Genomic DNA, 22230 nt, shown 5'->3' with positions numbered 1-22230 from the left:
GCTGAGGCAGGGGAATTGCTTTGGGAGGCCGAGGCGGGCAGATCACTTGAGGTCAGGAGTTCGAGAACAGCCTGGCCAACATAAGATGAAACCCTGTCTCTACTAAAAATATAGAATTTAGCTGGGTGTGGTGGTGAGTGCCTGTAATCCCAGCTACTTGGGAGGCTGAGGCAGGAGACTAGCTTGAACCCAGGAGGCAGAGGTTGCAGTGAGCCAATCACACTACTGCACTCCAGCCTGGGCGACAGAGTGAGTCTCCATCACAAAAAATAAAAGAAAAAATAATATGGAAGAAAGAAAATGTACAGGGAAGTACTTTTCCTTCTGAATCTTGTAACTTGCCAAATGTAGCTATTACAGGCTAAACTGTGGCCTCTCAAAAAGATAACACTGAAGTTCCTAACCTCCAGTACCTCAGAACGTGACTTTACTTGGAAATAGCGTCCTAGCAAATGTAATGAGTTCACAGGAGGTCATGCTGGAGAAGGTGGGCCTCTCATCCAATATGACTGGTATGGCCAGACAGGGAGAAGGCCATGCGAGAATGGAGGATTGGAGAGATGCATCTACAAGCCAAGGAACATCAAACATGGCCAGCAAACCACCAGAAACTAGAAGAGGACTCCCCTACAGGTTTTTGAGGGAGCATGTCCCAGCTGACACCCTGCTTCCAGACTTCTAGGCTGCAGGTCTGTGAGACAACACACTTCAGTTGTTTTGAGCCACTCAGTTTGTAGTACATTGTCATGGCAGTCCTAGGAAACTAATATAGTGGCCTGGACTTTGAATTATTGCGAATAATGGGGGAAGGAGAAACAGTGAGTCACCTGAGCATCGTGACCTACGGGTTTTCAATGACTTTCCAGTTTATTTTCTGACAAGTGAAAATATTTTCAAGAACATGCACAGTGAACACAGGAATGCTAGGAAGGCAAACATAAAAGGGCACACACACACACGGCAGGTGACTGAAACTTTAATGCACCTAGGGATTGACCACAACATTTACAAATCAGTGTTACTGCATTGGTTTTTCAAAGATTAGCTACATTTATAAACTTTATTTTAAAAGTTTCACAAAGTTAAATTTCCTTAACACTTCAACAGGAATCTAACTCTTTACAGTCTATCAAAATGGTAATATTTTACCTTTTTTTTTTTTTAAAGCACTGGTGCTCTTCTTAAGTGAAATGTTAACACAGGGCTCAATACATAAAAGAGAAAGTGAAGTTGTTCCATTTGGGGGGTCCCATAAGGGGCCTCATGTTTCCCTAGGTGTTACCCCTTCAGACACAGCACAGCCTACAAAGCCATGGAATTAAAATATTAACAATGAATGCATAAAGATTTCACTGACAAATAAAAACCAGGGAGTGCATTCAGTGACCACAACTTTCTAAGCTTCTGCTTTTCCACATGCTTTTCTTTGGTTTTATCACTTTAGAAAACTCTTTGAACATTAATTGTCTGAATGGCAGCTATATTAGTCAGAAGCTGTAATGCTACACCTGGGAATTTATCTACATGATAGATGCTGCTGAATAAAATCCAACAAGAACGATTTTGTTTAAAAAAAAACTTTGTTAAGGCAGTCTATTGTTCATACTAACAGAAATAAAACATTTATGAATAAAGTCCAAAGCCAAGATAATTCTTAGAAAGATGAAGCATCCCTGCTGGGCACAGTGGCTCACACCTGAATCCCAGCACTTCAGAAGGCCGAGGCTGGTAGATCATCTGAGGTCAGGAGCTTGAGACCAACCTGGCCAACATAGTGAAATCCTGTCTCTACTAAAAATACAAAAAATTAGCTGGGCATGGTGGTGGGTGCCTGTAATCCCAGCTACTTGGGAGGCAGAGGCAGGAGAATCGCTTGAACCCAGGAGGCAGAGGCTGCAGTGAGCCAAGATCATACCACTGTACTCCAGCCTGGGCAACAAGAGCGAAACTCCATCTCAAAAAAAAAAAAAAAGGGAGTTTCCAAGGAAATGCTACATTGTGGGACTGTAGCATGTATGTCCAAAGGGAATAGAAAAGCAATACCAGCTGGGCGCGGTGACTCACGCCTGTAATCCCAACACTTTGGGAGGCTGAGGCGGGTGGATCATGAGGTCAGGAGATCGAGATCATCCTGGCTAACACGGTGAAACCCCATCTCTACTAAAAATACAAAAAAATTAGCTGGGCGTGGTGGCAGGTGCCTGTAGTCCCAGCTACTCGGGAGGCTGAGGCAGGAAAATGACGTGAACTTGGGAGGCGGAGCTTGCAGTGAGCCGAGATCGCACCACTGCACTCCAGTCTGGGCAACAGAGTAAGACTCTGTCTCACAAAAAAAAAAAAAAAAAAGCAATACCATTCATACAATTCAATGTGTCCAGGGCAGGCTGGACTATGGGGAGATGGAGAGATGTACAGTCACACTGATGAAAGACAGGGAGGCCATGTGGAACCCCAGGGGCCACAGAGCCACAGTGAAGCACCAGGCTAAGGCCATGAGTTAACACCACAAACCAGAAAGGCACCAGACACTTGGGCTTTTGGTTAAGTAGGTTGGGCTTGCTCATTAAGGACCTTTTCTTGAGACTCATTCTTTATAATTTATTCATTTCACAAACACTTCAGTAGACTTCACAAACACTAATATAGTTCCTACCATATTAGTAACTCCTTTAATCCTAACAACTCTATGAGGAAGGAACTATTATTAGCCCCATTTTACAGAAGAGGAAACAGGCACAGAGAGATTAAGCAATTTGCCCAAGATCAGGATGTCTGAAAATGTTGATCTGGGATTCAAACACCTTTCAAGGGAATAAATGACACCTTTGAAAGATGTCACCCTTTTTCCCTTAGAAAAATCCTTTAGAAATCCCCTAGGAATTTCTCTAGGAAGAGAAATTTGTCCCAGAAAAATCCTAGGAACCTGCCTGAGTAAAAAAGGAAAAAGTAGCACCAGAATTGATGGTCCACTTGCCCATCACACTGCCAGGATACGATCTCTAAAATGATGACACATTTAAATGAGATAGATGAATATGAAATTGGTCACAGATGAAAGATGAACACAGGATTTTTTCCATTCTTAGTAAAGGCCCTTAGAACATTTGAATTCGTTTAAAAATGTCTGAGTAAAATCTTTAATGTTGCATACTGGTTAAACCAATTGGAAGCTGATTTGGGAAGCGCTTGCTTCTCTACCACAGAGGCTAGCATTAAAAAGGCAGTAAATAAATAGTAAACTTGCTATTTTTTAAAAAAAGTAGTTTCCCAGCCTGACCAACATGGTGAAACCTCGTCTCTACTAAAAATACAAAAATTAGCGGGGTGTGGCAGCGCACGCCTGTAATCCCAGCTACTGGGGAGGCTAATTGCTTGAACAGGAGAATTGCTTGAACCCGGGAGGTGGAGGTTGCAGTGAGCCGAGATTGTGCCACTGCATTCCAGCCTGGGTAACAGAGCGAGACTTCATCTCAAAAAAATAAAATAAAATAAAAAAATAAAGTGGTTTCAAATAAGCGTTAAGAATAACCTTGTACATCCCAATTCATTACTTTATCATATTCTTGAATTCTTTGCTTTATGTGAGAAAGTTTATTCTTTAGGTAATCACAGCGTTCTTTTTTTTCCAGAAATGTAGGATCCTGTAAAAGAAATATAAGTATTATTTTGGCTCCTGGCTTCCTCAGTGAAAAACACAGAAACATACATTGTCACCCAGGAAATGATCATACATAGCAAAAGTCTCTACAGCAGATTCTGAACTCAGGGTAACAGTTAAGCTCTCTACATATTTTTTAAATGTACTTTTTTTTTTAGAGCAGTTTTAGGTTCACAGCAAAATCAAGCAGAAGTACAAAGTGCTAAGACACCTTTCATTTTAATATCTGATAAAGCCAGGTACAGTGGCATGTGCCTGTAGTCCCAGCAACTCAGGAGGCTGAGGTGGAAGGATTGCTTGAGCCCAGGTATTTGAGGCCAGCTTAGGCAACATGCCAAGACCCCATCTCTTTAAAAAAAAAGAAAAAGTAATAAGTATAGAAAATACTAATAAACGGTCTCTCCAGCCTTTACTGATTTTTTTTTTCTTTTTGAGACAGGGTTTCACTTTGTTGCCCAGGCTAGAGTGCAGTGGCGTACTGTCTCCCAGTGCAACCTCTGCCTCCCAGGCACAAGTGATCCTCCCACTTCAGCCTCCCAAGTAGCTGGGGCTACAGGCGTGTGCCACCACTACCGGCTAATGCTTGTATTTTTTTGTAGAGACAAGGTTTCGCCATGTTGCCCAGGCTGGTCTCAAACTCCTGGGCTCAAGCGTTCCACTCGCCTTGGCTTCCCAAAGTGCTGGGATTACAGGCCTGAGCCAGTGTCCAGCCACCTCTACTGATTTTGAGATTAAGTTAGAGTTGGAAAGATGTAAAATCAGTTCATCTTTTTGAAGGAACAGGTGGAGAATTCCTGATCAATGCTCATTTCTCTAGGTTGCTAAATCAGGACACAGCAAAATGTATTCAGAGCAGACATGAGAAGAAATGGCATCCAGCAGCCATTTTCTCTTAAAAGGAGCATCCCATGAAATACAAAAAGGAACTATTTTAGCTAACAGAATCTAGAGTCTGTAAATTATCACATATGTACTTGGATAAGAATACAGTTTGAAGAAAACTGTTTTACTCACATTCTTTTTTTTCTTAAACTCTTCATGGATTCTTGAAATTCTCTCATGTTCCTAAAAATAATACATTGTATACTTAAGTTAAAACATTTGCATTTACTCAAATCATATCTCAAAGCACACTGAGAATTAGAACAAAAAATAATTTTTACCTAAGAAAATAATGAAAACATTCACACACAAAAATTCAATTCACAGGCAAATATTTGAAGGCTTACTGTCTGCTAGGCCCAGGCGATAAAAGAGAGAAAGGGCCCTGACCACATGCAACCAGACCCAAGCCCCAGGCCCTTAGGGAGGATACATAGCTTGCCCAGGGTCATACAGCTGGCAAGTTCAGTTTCCTTACTGGTAAAATGGAAATAAAACCATAATGATCTCAAAGGGTTGTAAGAAGGTTCACTTATTTGAAATGATCCTTATAAAGTGCTTGCCACATAATAACCACATTAGCTATGATTATGTTCATCCTTTTTGGAAAGTTCTTTTTTGAGTTATTAGGTGTTGGGATTAAGAAGTTTGAGAGTATGCAACTTTTGAAAATAGCTAATATAAGGCTCCTTGTAACTTTTTTCTAAGTTTTATAATAAATACGAACTTTGTTAAGGAGTTGAACGGCCTATCCAAAGGGAACACATTACTATAGCAATGCCCTCGTTCATCCATGCAAACCTATGCATAGAGATTGTCAGACAATGCAAACCTAATAAATAAATAAATATAATAATTTACAGCGTTTTTTTTTTCATTTTAAGACAGTCTCCCTCTGTCGCCCAGGCTGGAGTACAGTGGCGTGATCTCAGCTCACTGCAACTCCCACCTCTCTGGCTCAAGCTGTTATTGAGCCTCAGCCTCCCAAGTAGCTGGAATTATAGGTGTGCATCACCATGCCCAGCTAATTTTTGTATTTTTAGTAGAGATGGAGTTTTGCCATGTTTCCCAGGCTGGTCTCGAACTCCTGGCCTCAAGTGATCCACCCACCTTGGCCTCCCAAAGTACTGGGATTACACGCATGAGCCACTGTGCCCAGCCAGTAATTTATAGTTCTAAAAGCTTGCCCTACACCTGTAATCCCAGCATTTTGGGAGGCTGAGGCGGGTGGATCACCTGAGATCAGGAGTTCAAGACCAGCCTGGCCAACATGGCGAAACCCCATCTCTACTAAAAATACAAAAATTAGCCAGGCATGGTGGCGGGCACCTGTAATCTCAGCTACTTAGGAGTTTGAGACAGTAGAATCACTTGAACCCAGGAGGCGGAGGTTGCAGTGAGCCAAGATCACGCCACTGCACTCCAGCCTGGGCAACAGAGACTCTGTCTCAAAAATAAATAAATAAATAAAAAACTAATAAAATAAAAGCTTGGCCTGAGAACTTTTTCTATCACTGACCCATATCCTTTTCCCAGTATATTTTCTTCTTCTTTTTTTTTTTTTTTTTTTGAGACAGGGTCTTGCTCTGTTGCCCAAGCTGGAAGGCAGTGGTGTAATAGCTCACTGTAACCAAAACTTCTTGGGCTCAAGTGATCCTCCTGTCTCAGCCTCCCAAGTAGCTGGGATTATACGGCACATCACCAGGCCTGGCTAATTTTTATTTATATTTATTTTTTTTTATTTTTGAGATGGAGTCTCAATTCTGTCACCCAGGCTGGAGTGCAGTGGTGCGATCTCGGCTCACTGCAACCTTCGCCTCCTAGGTTCAAGTGATTCTCCTGCCTCAGCCTCCCGAGTAGCTGGGATTACAGGCACCTGCCACTACGCCCAGCTAATTTTTTGTATTTTCAGTAGAGATGGGGTTTCACCATGTTGGCCTGGCTGGTCTCGAACTCCTGACCTTGTGATTCACCCACCTCGGCCTCCCAAAGTGCTGGGGTTACAGGTGTGAGCCACCATGACCGGCCGCTAACTTTTACTTTTTTGTGTGTAGATGCAGTCTTGCTATGTTGCCCAAGCTCATCTTGAACTCCTGGCTTTGAGCACTCTTCCTGCCTTGTCTCTCAAAGTGTGGGGATTACAGCCATGAGCCCCCTTGCCTGAACTATTTTAATTCTTCAATCTCTTTTACATACTGAGATCATGAGTATGTTTGTGTTTTGAATGCTTGCCAGCAGTGAAGATAAACCTGGTGATTTAATTGTAATCTGTAATAACAGATCCTGGACAAGGAATAAACTTGCTATTGGGGTTAGCACTGCTGTGCTGGAGATGCAGGCAGAGATGAGCTGTAACATCCATCTAGAGTCTGTCACTGAATTTAAGGAGTGGTGAGGACCAGAGGGATTGTTTGGGGCAATATTTCTACTTTATGGGCTCAGAAAAGTCATGTGACTATTTTTCAGTGGTGCACAACCATGTCTGTGGGAGAACCTGCCTCCAAACAGGCCCACTGGGCTTTGAAATGCCTCACATGCTTCCATGGGGACATGGTGGGAAAACGAATGAGCCTGTGGACTCCTGCCCAGGACAAAGCTCAGCCTGTGGCCAAGGAGAAGCTAACTTTTGTAATATGGTTAATATTTCTACTTTAGATAAGGACTGGAGGATACACTGATAATAATAACCGTGGGCCTGCCATTGGGTTACTTACAAGCCCTGTCTTGTTAAAAATCACAGGTAATGGCTGTTGTTGATATTGTGTGGAAACATCATGGGAAGACTTGGTCTCTCAACCTGTACTGTCATCAGGACCCTCTTGATTTCCCAACTGCAGACCATGTGCTGCAGCCCTTGTCCATTCATACAAAGCACACAAACCAGATACCACTGGGTGTTGGCTCAAAGATTACAGGTCAAGGTCAAGATTTTCTTTGTTTTTTTTTTTTGAGACAGAGTCTCACTCTGTCACCCAGGCTGGAGTGCAATGGCACAATCTCGTCTCACTGCAACCTCCGCCTCCCAGGTTCAAGCCATTCTCCTGCCTCAGCCTCCCGAGTAGCAAGGATTACAGGCGCCCACCACCATGCTCGGCTAATTTTTTGTATTTTTAGTAGGGACGGGGTTTCACTATGCTGGCCAGGCTGGTCTCGATCTCCTGACCTCATGATCCGCCTGCCTCGGCCTCCCAAAGTGCTGGGATTACAGGTGTGAGCCACCGCACCCAGCTTTTTTTTTTTTTTTTTTTTTTAAGACAGAGTTTCGCTCTTGTTGCCCAGGCTGGAGTGCAATGGCGCGATCTTGGCACACCAGAGCCTCCGCCTCCTGGGTCAAGCGATTCTCCTGCCTCAGACTTCCCGAGTAGCTGGGATTACACACATGCACCACCACGTGCGGCTAATTTTGTATTTTTAGTTGGGATGGTTTCTTTTTTTTTTTTTTTTGAGATGAAGTCTTGCTCTGTCGCCCAGGCTGGAGTGTAGTGGCACGATCTCAGCTCACTGCAACCTCCGACTCCCGGGTTCAAGCAATTCTCTTGTCTCTGCCTCCTGAGTAGCTGGAATTACAGGCACACACCACCATGCCTGGCTAATTTTTGTATTTTTAGTAGAGACGCGGTTTCACCTTGGCCTCCCAAAGTGCTGGGATTACAGGCATGAGCCACTGTGCCTGGCCGAGATGGGGTTTCTCCATGTTGGTCAGGCTGGTCTGGAACTCCCAACCTCAGGTGATCTGCCCGCCTCAGCCTCCCAAACTGCTAGGATTACAGGTGTGAGCCACCACACCCGGCCTTACAGGTCAGGATTTTCTTCATTATTTCTCCCAACAAGCCTGCATTTCCCAGCCTGTGCTGATCCAGATTCCTGGGGCCTCATGCCTTCCTGCACTCCTTTGACGGCCTCTGAGAGACTAGGTCACCCTTCTTAGACCTGTGGGCCTTGCTTATTTTCCAAATGGTACTGACATTCAACCTCAATATTTGCTGAATTTCTCTTGCTTCCTGGTACTGGCGTCTCTTAGCCAACACCATTCCATTGCTCCAGGATTAGGAAAATGTTACTGTAATACACATTTGGCTTAGTTAACTCATAACGATAAGTGATTTAAATGCACACTTAACAAAGAGTCTGTGATTGAAACAAAGACACCTAACTTCTCAGGTAAAAAATTTATATATATGTGTGTGTGTGTGTGTGTGTGTGTGTGTGTGTGTGTGTGTGTGTGTGTGTTCCCATACATAAATTTGACATTTAGTTTTTTTTGTTTGTTTTTTGGTTTTTTTTGGCTCTGTCGCCCAGGCTGGAGTGCAGTGGCATGATCTTGGCTCACTGCAACCTCCGCCTCCCGGGTTCACACGACTTGCCTGCCTCAGCCTCCCAAGTAGCTGGGACTGCAGGCATGTGCCACCACAGCCAGACCGACATTTAGTTTTTACAAAGCTGTGTTTTTAAAATTTAATCATACATGTAATAGATTAATACAGCCTCTTTTAAAAAGACAGAATATTACACAAATATTTATACCAGCATTATTCGTAACAGCCAATGAGTGGAAATGACTATATAGACATTTGGAAATGACCAAATGTCTATCTCTTGATAAATGGATAAACAAAATGTGGTATATCCATATAGCAGAATATTATTCCACCACAAAAAGGAATATGTATTGACTTATGCTAAAATATGGATGAACCTTGAAAACATTATGCAAAATGAAGAAGCCAGACACAAAAGATTGATATGAAATGTTCAAACTAGGCAAATCCATTCGGACAGAAAGTAGATTAGTGGTTGTCAATGGTTGGACAGAGCTGAGAATGGGAAATAACTGCTAATTCGTAAAGGGTTTCATTTTTTTTTTTTTTTTTTTTTTTTTTGAGACAGGGTCTCACTCTGTTGCCCAGGCTGGAGTGCAGTGGCGCAATCTTGGCCCACTGCAACCTCCACCTCCTGGGTTCAAGTGATTCTCCTGCCTCAGCCTCCCAAGTAGCTGAGATTACTCAGCCTGCCAACATGCCCAACTAATTTTTGTACTTTTAGTAGAGACAGCATTTCACCATGTTGGCCAGGCTGGTCTCGAATTCCTGACCTCAAGTGATCTGCCTGCCTCAGCATCCCAAACTGCTGAGATTACAGGCATGAGCCACCACACCCAGCCAATATAGGGTTTCTTTTTGGGGTGATAAAACTGTTGTGGAATTTGAGTGGTGCTGATTGCAAAACTCTGTAACTATACTAAAATTCACTGAATTGTACACTTTAAAAGGGTGGGTTTATTATATGTGAATGAGATCTCAATTAAAAAGAGTACATCTGGGCCGGATGCAGTGGCTCATGCCTGTAATACCAGCACTTTGGGAGGCTGAGGTAGGTGGATCACCTGAGGTCAGGAGTTCGAGACCAGCCTGGCCTAAATGGGGAAACCCTGCCTCTACTAAAAATACAAAAATTAGCCGGGTGTGCACCTATAGTCCCATCTACTCAGGAAGCTGAGGCAGGAGAATCGCGTAACCTGGGAGGCAAAGGTTGCAGTGAGCCGAGATTGCACCACTGCACTCCCGTCTGGGTGACAGAGCAAGACTCCATCTCAAAAAAAAAAAAAAAAAAGAGTACATCTGATTAAAAAATGGCACAGGTGGCCAGGCACGGTGGCTCACGCCTGTAATCCCAGCACTTTGGGAGGCTAAGGCGGGTGGATCATAAGGTCAGGAGTTTGAGACCAGCCTAACCACCATGGTGAAACCCCGTCTCTACTAAAAATACAAAATTAGCTGGGCATGGTGGCGCATGCCTGAATCCCAGCTACTTGGGAGGCCGAGGTGGGAGAATCGCTTCAACCCGGGAGGCAGAGGTTGCAGTGAGCCGAGATCGCGCCATGGCACTCCAGCCTGGGCAACAAGAGCAAAACTCCATCTCAAAAAAATAAAATAAAATAAAAATTAAAAAATGGCACAGGTTATAAGGCATTCCTATTTCAATATTCCTATTTCAAAATGTGAAAAATGTGGGGGGTGCGGAAGAGCACTACGAAAAAGCTTAAGCCTCTGTAACTACCATATCTACTCCTGGTTTTCCTCTTTGTCATAATCACAGCTACCTGTCTGATGTGTGTGTCCAGCAGCTCACATTTGTAGCATATCTCATATCTGCTTGCTTTTTTTTTTTTTTTTGGAGACATGGTCTCACTCTGTCCTTCAGGCTGGAGTGTAGTGACAAAATCACAGCTCACTGCAAACTCCACCTCCTGGGTTCAGGCAATCCTTGCACCTCAGCCTCCTGCTGGGTCTACAGGTGCATGCCACCATGCCCGGCTAATTTTTATATTTTTTGTAGAGACAGGGTTTCACCATGTTGTCCAGGCTGGTCTTGCATGCCTGGGCTCAAGCGATCTGCCCACCTTGGCCTCTTAAAGTGTTGGGATTACAGGCATAAGCCACTGCGCCTGGCCATTTCTGCTCTCTACTCTTACTCAGTGGGCGCTCTGCCTTTGGGCCTGGGGTGCTAACTGCTGGGCTCTGGCTTAGCAGGGGAATGCAATGCCCCTGGTGGCTTCCCTACATTCCCTTTCTGAATAAACCTTTGTGAATTATCCTAGTTTGAATGTGCTATCTGTCTCCTTTGGGACCCTGACTGACTCAGTATCTATCTTAGGCAAATTCGTATTTTACTTAAGTAAGAAAATAAAATATGGGTAAGCACAGAGTGAAAAAAAAAAAAGAAGAAATACTGTTTAATAATTGAAGACAAAAGATATTAAGTTACATAATTTGAATTGTCATCTTGACTAGACACCTTGAGGATCTCAAATGCTTTCCTAGACACAGAAAGCAGATGTAAATGGTTATAAATTTTTTTAAAAGCCAGATTTTGGGGGCCAGGCGTGGTGGCTCCCACCTGAATCCCAGCACTTTGGGAGGCCGAGGCAGGTGGATCCCGAGGTCAGGAGATCAAGATCATCCTGGCTAACACGGTGAAACCCCATCTCTACTAAAAATACAAAAAAATTAGCTGGGCGTGGTGGCAGGCGCCTTAGTCCCAGCTACTCGGGAGGCTGAGGCAGGAGAATGGCATGAACTCGGGAGGTGGAGCTTGCAGTGAGCCAAGATCACGCCACTGCACTCCAGCCTGGGTGACAGAGTGAGATTCTAGCCTTAAAAAAAAAAAAAAGCCAGATTTTATGCCAAATGCGGTGGCTCATGACTGTAATCCCAGCACTCTGGGAGGCCAAGGCAGGTGGATCACTTGAGGCCACTCTTGGCCAACATGGCAAAACCGCGTCTCCACTAAAAATAGAAAAAAATTAGCTACGTGTGGTGGCATGTGCCTGTAATCCCAGCTACTCGGGAGGCTGAGGCAGGAGAATTGCTTGAACCCAGGAGGTGGAGGTTGCAGCAAGCCAAGATTGTGCCACTGCACTCCAGCCTGGCAACAGAACAAGACTCTGTCTCACAGAAAAAAAAAAAAAAAAAAAAAAAAGCCAGATTTTATTCATCCTCTAGATTTCAGTGCTCCTCCTAGGCAGCTGCACATACTAACCTGTCGGCTTTCCGAATGATGTGGCAATCTGCTCATCACTGCATCCAGCTCATCAAACTTCCTCAGGACAGCCTGAACTTCTGCAGACAGCTCTTTGTACTCTGAAAACTGGTCTTGGAACACAGCTTTATAGCGTTCTCGCTCATCATCTGTCTGAATCACAGGGTATTTTCTAGGGGAAAAACATAAGCCAAAGATATAATTGTTTCACTAAAAGAAGCTGAATGGGAAATCAGCTTATCTTATTCCTTACTGATCATATTGTACCTTCAATTCAATACATTACCTCTCAGATAACAACTATTTACATACACGATTTTAAGCACAGAGTATTAACTTGGAGACAAACTGGAAAATGAAAGGACCAAATGGGGCCCCTCAACTTCTACCTTGAGGAAGAATTCAGACTGACACTCACGCCACATAGTCGGGCATCACGATAGGTTTAGGAATGTGGCCTGGGGGGATGTGTCCACTCAGTAGTTCAGGTTTCATTTTTGCTGTTCTCAGTTCCTTGAAATTAACTTCTGAGTCTCTTTGTCTGTCACCACTGGTGGCCATTTCACACTGCAGTTAGGGAGAAAAAGAGGATTTGTTAATAAACATAAGTAGAAAAAAACCCTCTGAATTCATTCTTAGAAAATGAGGAAGAAGATCAGGTGGGGTGGCTCAAACCTGTAATCCTAGCACTTTGGGAGGACAAAGCCGGAGGATCACATGAGGCCAGGAGTTCAAGACCAGCCTGGCCAACATGGCAAGACCCTGTCTCTATAAAAAGTTTAAGGCCAGGCACAGTGGCTCACGCCTGTAATCCCAGCACTTTGGGAAACCGAGGTGGGCTGACCACTTGAGATCAGGAGTTTGAAACCAGCCTGGCCAACATGGTAAAACCCCATCTCTATTAAAAATACAAAAATTAGCTGGGAGTGGTGGCGGGTGCCTATAATCCCAGCTCCTCGGGAGGCTGAGGCAGGAGAATCACTTGGGCCCAGGAGGTGGAGGTTGCAGTGAACCAAGATTGTACCACTGCACTCCAGCTTGGGAGACAGACTGAGACTCTGTTTAAAAAAAAAAAAATCTGGCAGATGCAGCGGTGTGTGTCTGTAGTCCGCTAGTAGCTACTTGGGAGGCTTGGAGGCTGAGGTGGGAGGATTGCTTGAGTCCAGGAGGTAGAGGTTACAGTGAGCTGTGATTGCATTACTGCACTCCAGCCTGGGCGATAGAGTGAGACTCTGGCTCAAAAAAAAAAAAAAAAAAAAAAAAGAAGAAGAAGAAGAAAATGGGGAGGAAGACAGGAGGAAGAAAAGTGGAAATAAGAGTTAACATTTCACATCACAATTATATGTTTTATAGTCACAAAGTTGTTCTGAACGTTTCTGTAATAGCTAAGGGAATCACATTTGGGATATGGTAATACACAGTAGGTAAAACACACTCCAGCCCCAATCGTGTACATGTCAAAGGTGGATGATGCAATGCCAAACACGCAGTCTTAAGAACTTACCTATTTAGAATTTACACCCCAACTAAACGTAAAAGAATAAAAAATGTAATTCAAAATAAATTCAAGGATAAAAATGGAACAAGCCTACTTAAATGGAAAGAGAAAGTAATGATAATGGCAATTTGGGATGATTTAATTGTAAGTAACCACTGAGTGGATTAGAAAAGGAAATGAGTTGGCCGGGCACGGTGGCTCATGCCTGTAATCTCAGCACCTTGGGAGGCCGAGGTCGGTGGATCACGAGGTCAGGTGTTCGAGACCAGCCTGGCCAGCATGGTGAAACCCTGTCTCTACTAAAAATATAAAAATTAGCCGGGCATAGTGGCGGGCGCCTGTAATCCCATCTACTTGGGAGGCTGAGGCAGGACAATGGTGTGAACCCAGGAGGCGGAGCTTGCAGTGAGCCAAGATCACGCCACTGCACTCCAGCCTGGGCAACAGAGTGAGACTCTGTCTCAAAAAAAAAAAAAAAGAAAAGAAAAGAAGTGAGGTTGAGGCCAGGTGCAGGGGCTTACACGTGTAAGCCTAACACTTTGGGAGGCTGAGGTGGGAGGTGGGAGGATCACTTGAGGCCAGGAGTTCGAGGCTGCAGGGAGCTGTGAATGGTCCACTGCACTCCAGCCTGGGCATCAGAGCAAGACCCTGTCTCTTAAAAAAAAAAAATTAAAAACAGAAGTGAGGTTCAGAGAGGTCAAGTCAATTCTCCAAGGTCACATAACTATTAAGTAGAAAAGCCACAATTAAAACCCAGAACTGGGCCAGGCAAGGTGGCTCACGCCTGTAATCTCAGCACTTTGGGAGGCCGAGGGGGGTGGATCATTTAATGTCAGGAGTTCAAGACCAGCCTGGCCAACATGGTGAAACCCTGTCTCTACTAAAAATACAAAAATTAGCCGGATGTGGTGGTGTGCGCCTGTAATCCCAGCTACTCAGGAGGCTGAGGCAGGAGAATGGCTTGAGCCCGGGAGGCGGAGGTGGCAAGGAGCTGAGATTGTGCCACTGCACTCTAGCCTGGGTGACAGAGCGAGACGCCGTCTCAAAAATAAATAAATAAATAAATAAAACCCAGAACTAGGCCACGTGCAGTAGCTCATTCCTGTAATCCTAGCACTTTGGGAGGCCAAAGCAGGAGGACTGCTTGAGCCCAGATGTTTGAGACCAGCCTGGGCAACATAGGGAGATGCTGTCTCTACAAAAAAAATTAAAAAAATATATTTTTTCTTGAGACAGAGTCTCGTTCTGTGGCCCAGGCTGGAGTGCAGTGGCACGATCTCGACTCACTGCAACCTCTGCCTCCAGGTTTAAGCAATTCTCCTGCCTCAGCCTCCTGAATAGCTGGGACTACAGGTGCACACCACCATGACTGGCTAATTTTTTGTATTTTAGTAGAGATGGGGTTTCACCATATTTCCTAGTCTGGTCTCAAACTTCTGAGCTCAGGCAATCCACCCACCTCAGCCTCCCAAAGTGCTAGGATTACAGGCATGAGCCACAGTGCCTGGCCAAAAAATAAAAAATTAACTGGGTGTGGTGGCATGCACCTGTGGTCCAGGCTACTTGGGAGTCTGAGGTGGGAGGATTACTTAAACCCAGGAGGTCAAGGCTGTAGTGAATCGTGATCATGCCACTCTACTCAGCCTGGGTGACAGAGTGAAACCCTGTCTCAAAAAACAAACAAACAAATAAATAAATAAATAACCCAGAACTATTTGGTTTATTGATACTTTTTTTTTTTTTTTTTTTTGATACAGAGTCTCACTGTGCCACCCAGGCTGGAGTGCAGTGGCGAGATCATATAGCTCACTGCAGCCTCGAACTCCTGGGCTCAACCTATCCTCCCTCCTTGGCCTCCCAAAGTGCTAGGGTTACAGGTGTGAGCCACGGTGCCTGACCTGGTTCATTGATACTTTAAATGAATAACATAAAGAAACCTGTTAGCTTAAATGTATATTGTTCATATCCTAAAGTTGCATGAAGTTCTAGTAGCACACTAGAAGTGAGCTTGTGATGGACAGGGCAAGCAATGCCATACTGCTACTGGAAAGTAAGATCGTGCTTGGGAACATGATTCCTCTTTGGAGCAGTAACCTCCCTCCCCTCTACTGACCCCTTAAGCCTTCGAGAAATGCTTGCTGAACTAAACTGAGAGTGGCTTGGGAGGGCCCCTACTTCACTGCAAATAAAAAACCAAACAGGATTTTAAAACCTTAATCTTCATCTTGCCAGGAAGCTTTAAAAATCCTTTGTTTCCTGATTTCCTTACCCTGAAACTGGCTTTGGTTTAATATTAGCTCATTCTAAAAACCACTAGCACTTTAACTCACCAAATAGCACACCCTTTAGATTGGATTAGGTGTGGAGGCTGCTAACCAGCCCTAGGGGAAGGTTATGAAAAGGAAAAGCTCTCCAACCATGGCTCTAGGTGGGACAGAAGCCAGATCACCTAGATGTAGAAAGCATGCCTCGCCACTTGGTCTCCCAATCTGCAAAAACATGAGTGGCGAGCAGAGTACCCCGAGGAAATGAAATTAAGCCAGGATATTTTTAGGCAACACATTTTGAAGTTAGTATTTATTCTGCTGTATTTCTTGCTGATTAGGATGCCATTTCTTCATCCTAATGAATTCCTATATACTTAGTCTTGAAAACGAATAATGGTATTAAACATTAGGGGGAGCATTTTTGGCTTTAATAAATGAATTTCTATTTCTCTTTAACTTCTGTTTTATTTTTTTTGACCCCCATATGGACACATGGTTTAACTCCTAAATGTTTAACAATCCAGATCTCATGGTGCTGAGGAAGCTGCTATGAGCTTGTTGATCCTCTGGATCTCAGCAGCAGTCCCAGCATCAATCTCAGATCTCCTGGTCAAAGCTGCTTTGGGCAGAAGGTCCATCATTAATTTGTTTTCTACATAAAATTTTTTTAAGGAAGAACTAATCATTTTTCTTACTTGCCCATCCCTAATTGTAAGACTTACCTTTTAATATAGAAAGGGAGCCTGAAGAAATCAGAATATTTCCATGTAGACATTTCATCTGCTTTAAATTTATTTTAATTACTTAATTTATTTATTTTTGAGACAGTCTCGCACTATTGCCCAGGCTGGAGTGCAGTGGTAACAATCTGGATCTCAGCTCACTGCAACCTCCACCTTCCAGGTTCAAGTCATTCTCCCGCCTCAGTCTCCCAAGTAGCTGGGATTACAGGCTTGCGCCACCACACCCGGCTAATTTTTTGTATTTTTAGTAGAGATGGGATTTTGCCATGTTGCCCAGGCTGGTCTCAAACTCCTGACCTCTGGTGATCCACCCACCTTGGCTTCCAAAAATGCTGGGATTACAGGTGTGAGCCACCATGCCCGGCCTAAATTTTTTTTTATTTTTATGGTCTTAACTTTTTTTCTGCTCTTTTTGGATGAACCTTCCCGATCATCAGTTTGGAAAACTCTATTGGGAAAAAACTTTTTTTTTTTTGAGACATAGTCTCGCTCTGTCACCCAGGCTGGAGTGCAGTGGCACGATCTTTGCTCACTGCCACCTCTGCCTCCCAGTTCAAGCCACTCTCCTGCCTCAGCCTCCCGAGTAGCTGGGATTACAGGCATGCACCACCATGCCTGGCTAATTTTTGTATTTTTAGTAGAAATGGGGTTTCACCATGTTGGCCAAGCTGGTCCCAAACTCCTGGCCTCAAGAGATCCACCTGCTTTGGCTTCCCAAAGTGCTCGGATTACAGGCGTGAGCCACTGCACCTGTTCTCTATTGGGAAGAAATCTAAAACCACATATGAGACAAAGAATTAAATCTTCGTCAGGCTTTTGTGGGAAGACTGCATTAAGCTCCAGCACGGGAAAGGCCACTCTTAGACAGTACTCTTGATGACAGACATGTCAAAGGAAAGGGGAAAATGTCCCAGTGCCCCAGAGTAACATGACCGTTCTTTGCTTCCAGCAAAAACTAGTCTAAGTAATGTTATGAATATAATTATTAAACTTTTCAACTTAAAAATGGGCTGAATGAATATCTGTCAGGTTAGAAATAGAGAGAACTAAGGGAGGCTGAGGCAGGACAATTGCTTGAACCAGGAAGTCGGAGGTTGCGGTGAGCCGAGATCGTGCCACAGCACTCCAGCCTGGTGACAGAGTGAGACTCTGTCTCAAAAAAACAAACCAAAAAAAAAAAAGGAAAAGATATAGGGAGAACTAGCTATGTGTTTCAGTATGCATTTATTTCTCCAATTCTTGATTCTCTCTCCCTTTGAGTGTATAATATAATAATGCACAGGCCCCTGACCTCAAACCCATACCATCACGTTCCATGCCCACATTAGATTCCGGCTTTTCTAGCTTATAATATAAACCTGCACAGCACTTAAAGCACAGACTTCAGAATTTGTTGCTGTCTCTATGTGATCTTATATCTATTATTTCTTTTAAAAGTAGTCTTATTTGCTTTTAAAAATTATATTAATTAAAACACAAAATAAGAAGGCACCCCCTAGTATTAAACCAAACAACAGACAGGAAACTGAAGTTCAGAGAAAGTAAGCAATTTCCCCAGGATCGCAGAGCTAGTAAGTAGCTGACCTAGTACTCAAATTTAGATTGCCTGATTCTGAAGTTCACTTGCTGGCTGGGTGAGGTGGCTCACACCTGTAATCCCAGTGCTTTGGGAGGCTGAGGCAGGAGGATCACTTAAGACCAGCCCAGGCAACATAGTGAGACCTCTTCTCTACTAAAAATTATTTAAAAATTAACTGGCATGGTGGTGCATGCCTGTAGTCCCAGCTACTTGGGAGGTTAAGGTGGGAGGATTGTTTGAGCCCAGGAGTTTGCGGCTGCCCTCAGCCTGGGTGACAGACCCTTTTGAATTTTCAACCAAGTAAATATGCTCTCTTTTCAGAGAAACAAATCCAAAGACTGAATTCTCAACTCCTTGCTAAGAAATAATGTCCAGGCCGGGCGCGGTGACTCACGCCTGTAATCCCAGCACTTTGGGAGGCTAAGGCGGGTGGATCACGAGGTCAGGGGTTCGAGACCAGCCTGACCAACATGGTGAAACCCTGTCTCTACTAAAAATACAAAAATTGGCTGGGTGTGGTGGCGGGCGCCTGTAATCCCAGCTATTCAGGAGGCTGAGGCAGGAGAATTGCTTGAACCTGGGAGGCGAAGGTTGCAGTGAGCTGAGATCGCACCACTGCACTCCAGCCTGGGCGACAGAGCAAGACTCTGTCTAAAAATAATAATAATAATAATAATAATAATAATGTCCAGTATCTCAAAAAATGAGGGTAAAATTTTCAATGAGGGTAAAATTATGATTATTAAAATAAATTATTACATATATGTAAATAATGATAACAGCATCTCACTGAGTCCTCTCAGCAAACTTGCGAGGTATGAATTATTATTATTGCAATCTCACAGATGAAGAAATGCAGGCATAGAAAGGTTAAATAATTTGTCTGCTGCCACACAGTTGGTAAATTGTGGAATAGAAATTCCCTGACACTACAAAATTTGGCATCTTTAAAAAAAAGTATTATTGGCCGGGCATGCTGGCTCACACCCATAATCCCAGCACTTTGGGAGGCCGAGGCGGGCGGATCACGAGGTCAGGAGATCGAGAACATCCTGACCTCGTGAAACTAGCTAACATGGTGAAACCCCGTCTCCACTAAAAATACAAAAAATTAGCCGGCCGCGGTGGTGGGCACCTGTAGTCCCAGCTACTCGGGAGGCTGAGGCAGGAGAATGGTGTGAACCTGGGAGGCGGAGCTTGCAGTGAGCCGAGATAGCGCCACTGCACTCCAGCCTGGGCGACAGAGACTCCATCTCAAAAAAAAAAAAAAAGTATTATTATTATTAATTTCTTTTTTAACTGTCCTGTGAGTGTAGTAAAAAATTTGGCATCTGAAAGCAAGGTGAGAAGGATACAAAGAACAGCACAGAACTTTAAATACAAGTGAAGAAAGTTTCAGAGAATCACTTTCATTTAAAAAATAATTAAATTTCAAACATATGTTGGTTTGTTTACTTGCATAAATTTTCATCTAACAAAATTAAAAGCAGCTATAGATATGATTGTTTAATTTGGTCCTTTTAGTATCTGGAAAAAAGCTCAAAGTCCTAATATGAACTCGATGTAACAGCTACAATTTCTTTTTTTTTTTTTAATATATATATATTTTTTTATTATACTTTAAGTTTTAGGGAACATGTGCACATTGTGCAGGTTAGTCACATATGTATACATGTGCCATGCTGGTGCGCTGCACCCACTAACTCGTCATCTAGCATTAGGTATATCTCCCAATGCTATCCCTCCCCGCTCCCCCGACCCCACCACAGTCCCCAGAGTGTGATAATCCCCTTCCTGTGTCCATGTGATCTCATTGTTCAATTCCCACCTATGAGTGAGAATATGTGGTGTTTGGTTTTTTGTTCTTGCGATAGTTTACTGAGAATGATGATTTCCAATTTCATCCATGTCCCTACAAAGGACATGAATTCATCATTTTTTATGGCTGCATGTAATAGCTACACTTTCTTTTCTTTTCTTTTTTTAAACAGTCTCACTCTGTCACCCAGGCTGGAGTGCAGTGACGTGATCTTGGCTCACTGAAACCTTCACCTCCCAGATTCAAGTGGTTCTCGTGCCTCAGCCTCCAGAGTAGCTGGGATTACAGGCGTGTGCCACCACGTGCAGGTAATTTTTGTATTTTTGGTAGAGACAGGGTTTCACCATTTTGGCCAGGCTGGTCTTGAAATTCTGGTCTCAAGTGCTCCGCCCTCCTCAGCCTCCCAAAGTGCTGGGATTACAGGTGTGAGCCACCACACCTGGCCAATAGCTACATTTCACAGATGTACGATACTACTATGTAGATAAACAGACCTAAGAGAAAAGTATTAACAAATCTAAAGCATAATATGAAGTAAACTTTATTCTTACCATTTTCCTTTTCGATGACAATGATGGCTCATTTATCTGGAACAAAAAGAGTTCAAATAGTTTTTCAAAGGCATGTGAAGCTACTTTGCAAATATTTTCATCCATTTGCATTTATAGCCCAACCTCAATTTTAAGAGGTTGATCCTCTACTTGACGGGTGTTTCTCATCCTTTTTTTGCCTAGGTTTTGAAGGGCCAGTGGAGAACTGAGAAGAGGGATAACTGTAATTCCCTGTCAATCAGGGCATAGAGAGGAGTAGGGAATACGGAGATGGTGGAAACTGTTAGATAAACCACTCTGAATTACCCTCAAATTTTATTTATTCTTGCCTCCCATTACTTTGCATGATTAAAGAGTTAGGACAATTACTCTATAAAATTAATAGAAAAAAGCCCTAGGCCATTACATCTTCTAACCTTTAGGAAGTTATAGCAACGTACAGACAGGCACAACTTTCAACATCAGGTGACTGAAGTCTAATTAGGCATTATGAAAAGTCTCATAGACATAAGTTTTTGTTGAGAAAGGAAAAAGAAATAAAAGTATTATGTTGATCATTCTATTCATATAGAATTTTTAAATATTAAGATTTAATAACTTATGCAACTAGCATAAATTTATGAGGAAGTATGTGTTTCACTATCTGGATTTCATACTGATTAGAATTAACATTTTTTACTTTGTACACAGAGATGTACATTTAAGAAATAAATTGTAACTTTAAGAAACAAAAATTTAATACATGTGAAGGTTACATAAAAAAACAAAAATGTAAGAAATATGCTTAAAATGCTAAGACACATTTTTAGAAATAACTTGAATCTATGTAGAGTTCTAGCAAGATAAATTATTTTGTGACAATCAAGCTAGGCATGGTGGCTTATGCCTGTAATCCCAGCACTTTGGGAGGCTGAGGGGAGAGGATTGCTTGAGGCCAGGAGTTTGAGACCAGCCTGAGCAACATAGCAAGACCCCGTCTCTACAAAAAATTTAAAATATATAGAGAGAGAGATCACATGGACACATGTCAAAGTCCTTTGTATAACATGTAGGTACTTGTTATAAAACTATTTTTTTCCATCAAGCACAGTGGCTTATACTTATAATCCCAACACTTTGGGAGGCTGAGGCAGGAGGATTGCTTGAGCCCAGAAGTTCGAGACCAGCCTGGGTAACATAGTGATACCCTGTCTCTACAAAAAATATTGAAAAATAGCCAGGTGTGGTGGTGTATGCCTGCAGTCCCAGCTACCTGGGAGGCTGAGGTGGGAAGATTGCTTGAGCCTGGGAGGTCAAAGCTGGAGTGAGCCATGATTGTGCCACCGTATTGCAGGCTGGGTGACAGAGTTAGACCCTTCCTCAAAACAAACCATCAACAACAACAACAACGACAACAAAACGATTTGTTTCCCATTCCACTAGGTGTAAAAAGAAAATCTAAGGCTGGGTGTGGTGGCTCACGCCTGTAATCCTATCACTCTGGGAGGCCAAGGCAGATGGATCACCAGAGGTCAGGAGCTCAAGATCAGCCTGGCCAACATGGCAAAACCCTGTCTCTACTAAATACAAAAATTAGCTGGGCATGGTGGCATGTGCCTGTAATCCCAGCTACTAGGGGGGCTGAGGCAGAAGGATCACTTGAACCTGGGAAGCGGAGGTTATAGTGAGCAGAGATTGTGCCACTGCACTCCAGC

The 22230-nt window shown here is 43.4% G+C and overlaps 1 protein-coding gene across 5 annotated transcripts in view, besides 1 other annotated feature; it reads right to left on the bottom strand.

The window, feature by feature from the left end:
- MARVELD2 (MARVEL domain containing 2) overlaps nt 843-22230 on the bottom strand; it is a 29215-nt gene continuing 7827 nt past the window's right edge. For 3 of the 5 annotated variants that reach the window (XM_005248445.5, XM_005248446.5, NM_001038603.3), the window contains exons 3-7: nt 20537-20572; nt 12498-12646; nt 12080-12251; nt 4673-4723; nt 843-3641 (exon numbers count right to left, since the gene is read on the bottom strand). In XM_005248445.5, the coding sequence (XP_005248502.1) occupies nt 3519-3641; nt 4673-4723; nt 12080-12251; nt 12498-12646; nt 20537-20572 (531 nt within the window). In that variant the 3' untranslated portion in view covers nt 843-3518. The remainder of the gene's footprint in view (nt 3642-4672; nt 4724-12079; nt 12252-12497; nt 12647-20536; nt 20573-22230) is intronic. The other 2 variants (XM_005248447.5, NM_001244734.2) reach the window with 1 other exon arrangement.
- Nucleotides 3366-3563: a silencer, noted in NCBI's record as "fragment chr5:68737437-68737634 (GRCh37/hg19 assembly coordinates)". NCBI's record gives its function as "represses an EF-1alpha promoter that drives an FKBP-Casp9 reporter gene in an ReSE screen in K562 erythroleukemia cells {active_cell/tissue: K562}" and the evidence as "EXISTENCE:reporter gene assay evidence [ECO:0000049][PMID:32094911]".

This window comes from Homo sapiens, chromosome 5 (genome assembly GCF_000001405.40).
Source record: "Homo sapiens chromosome 5, GRCh38.p14 Primary Assembly".
Lineage (NCBI taxonomy): Eukaryota > Metazoa > Chordata > Mammalia > Primates > Hominidae > Homo > Homo sapiens.
The sequence above is the reverse complement of the archived record's forward strand: the minus strand, read 5'-3'. Positions and strand labels throughout refer to the sequence as shown.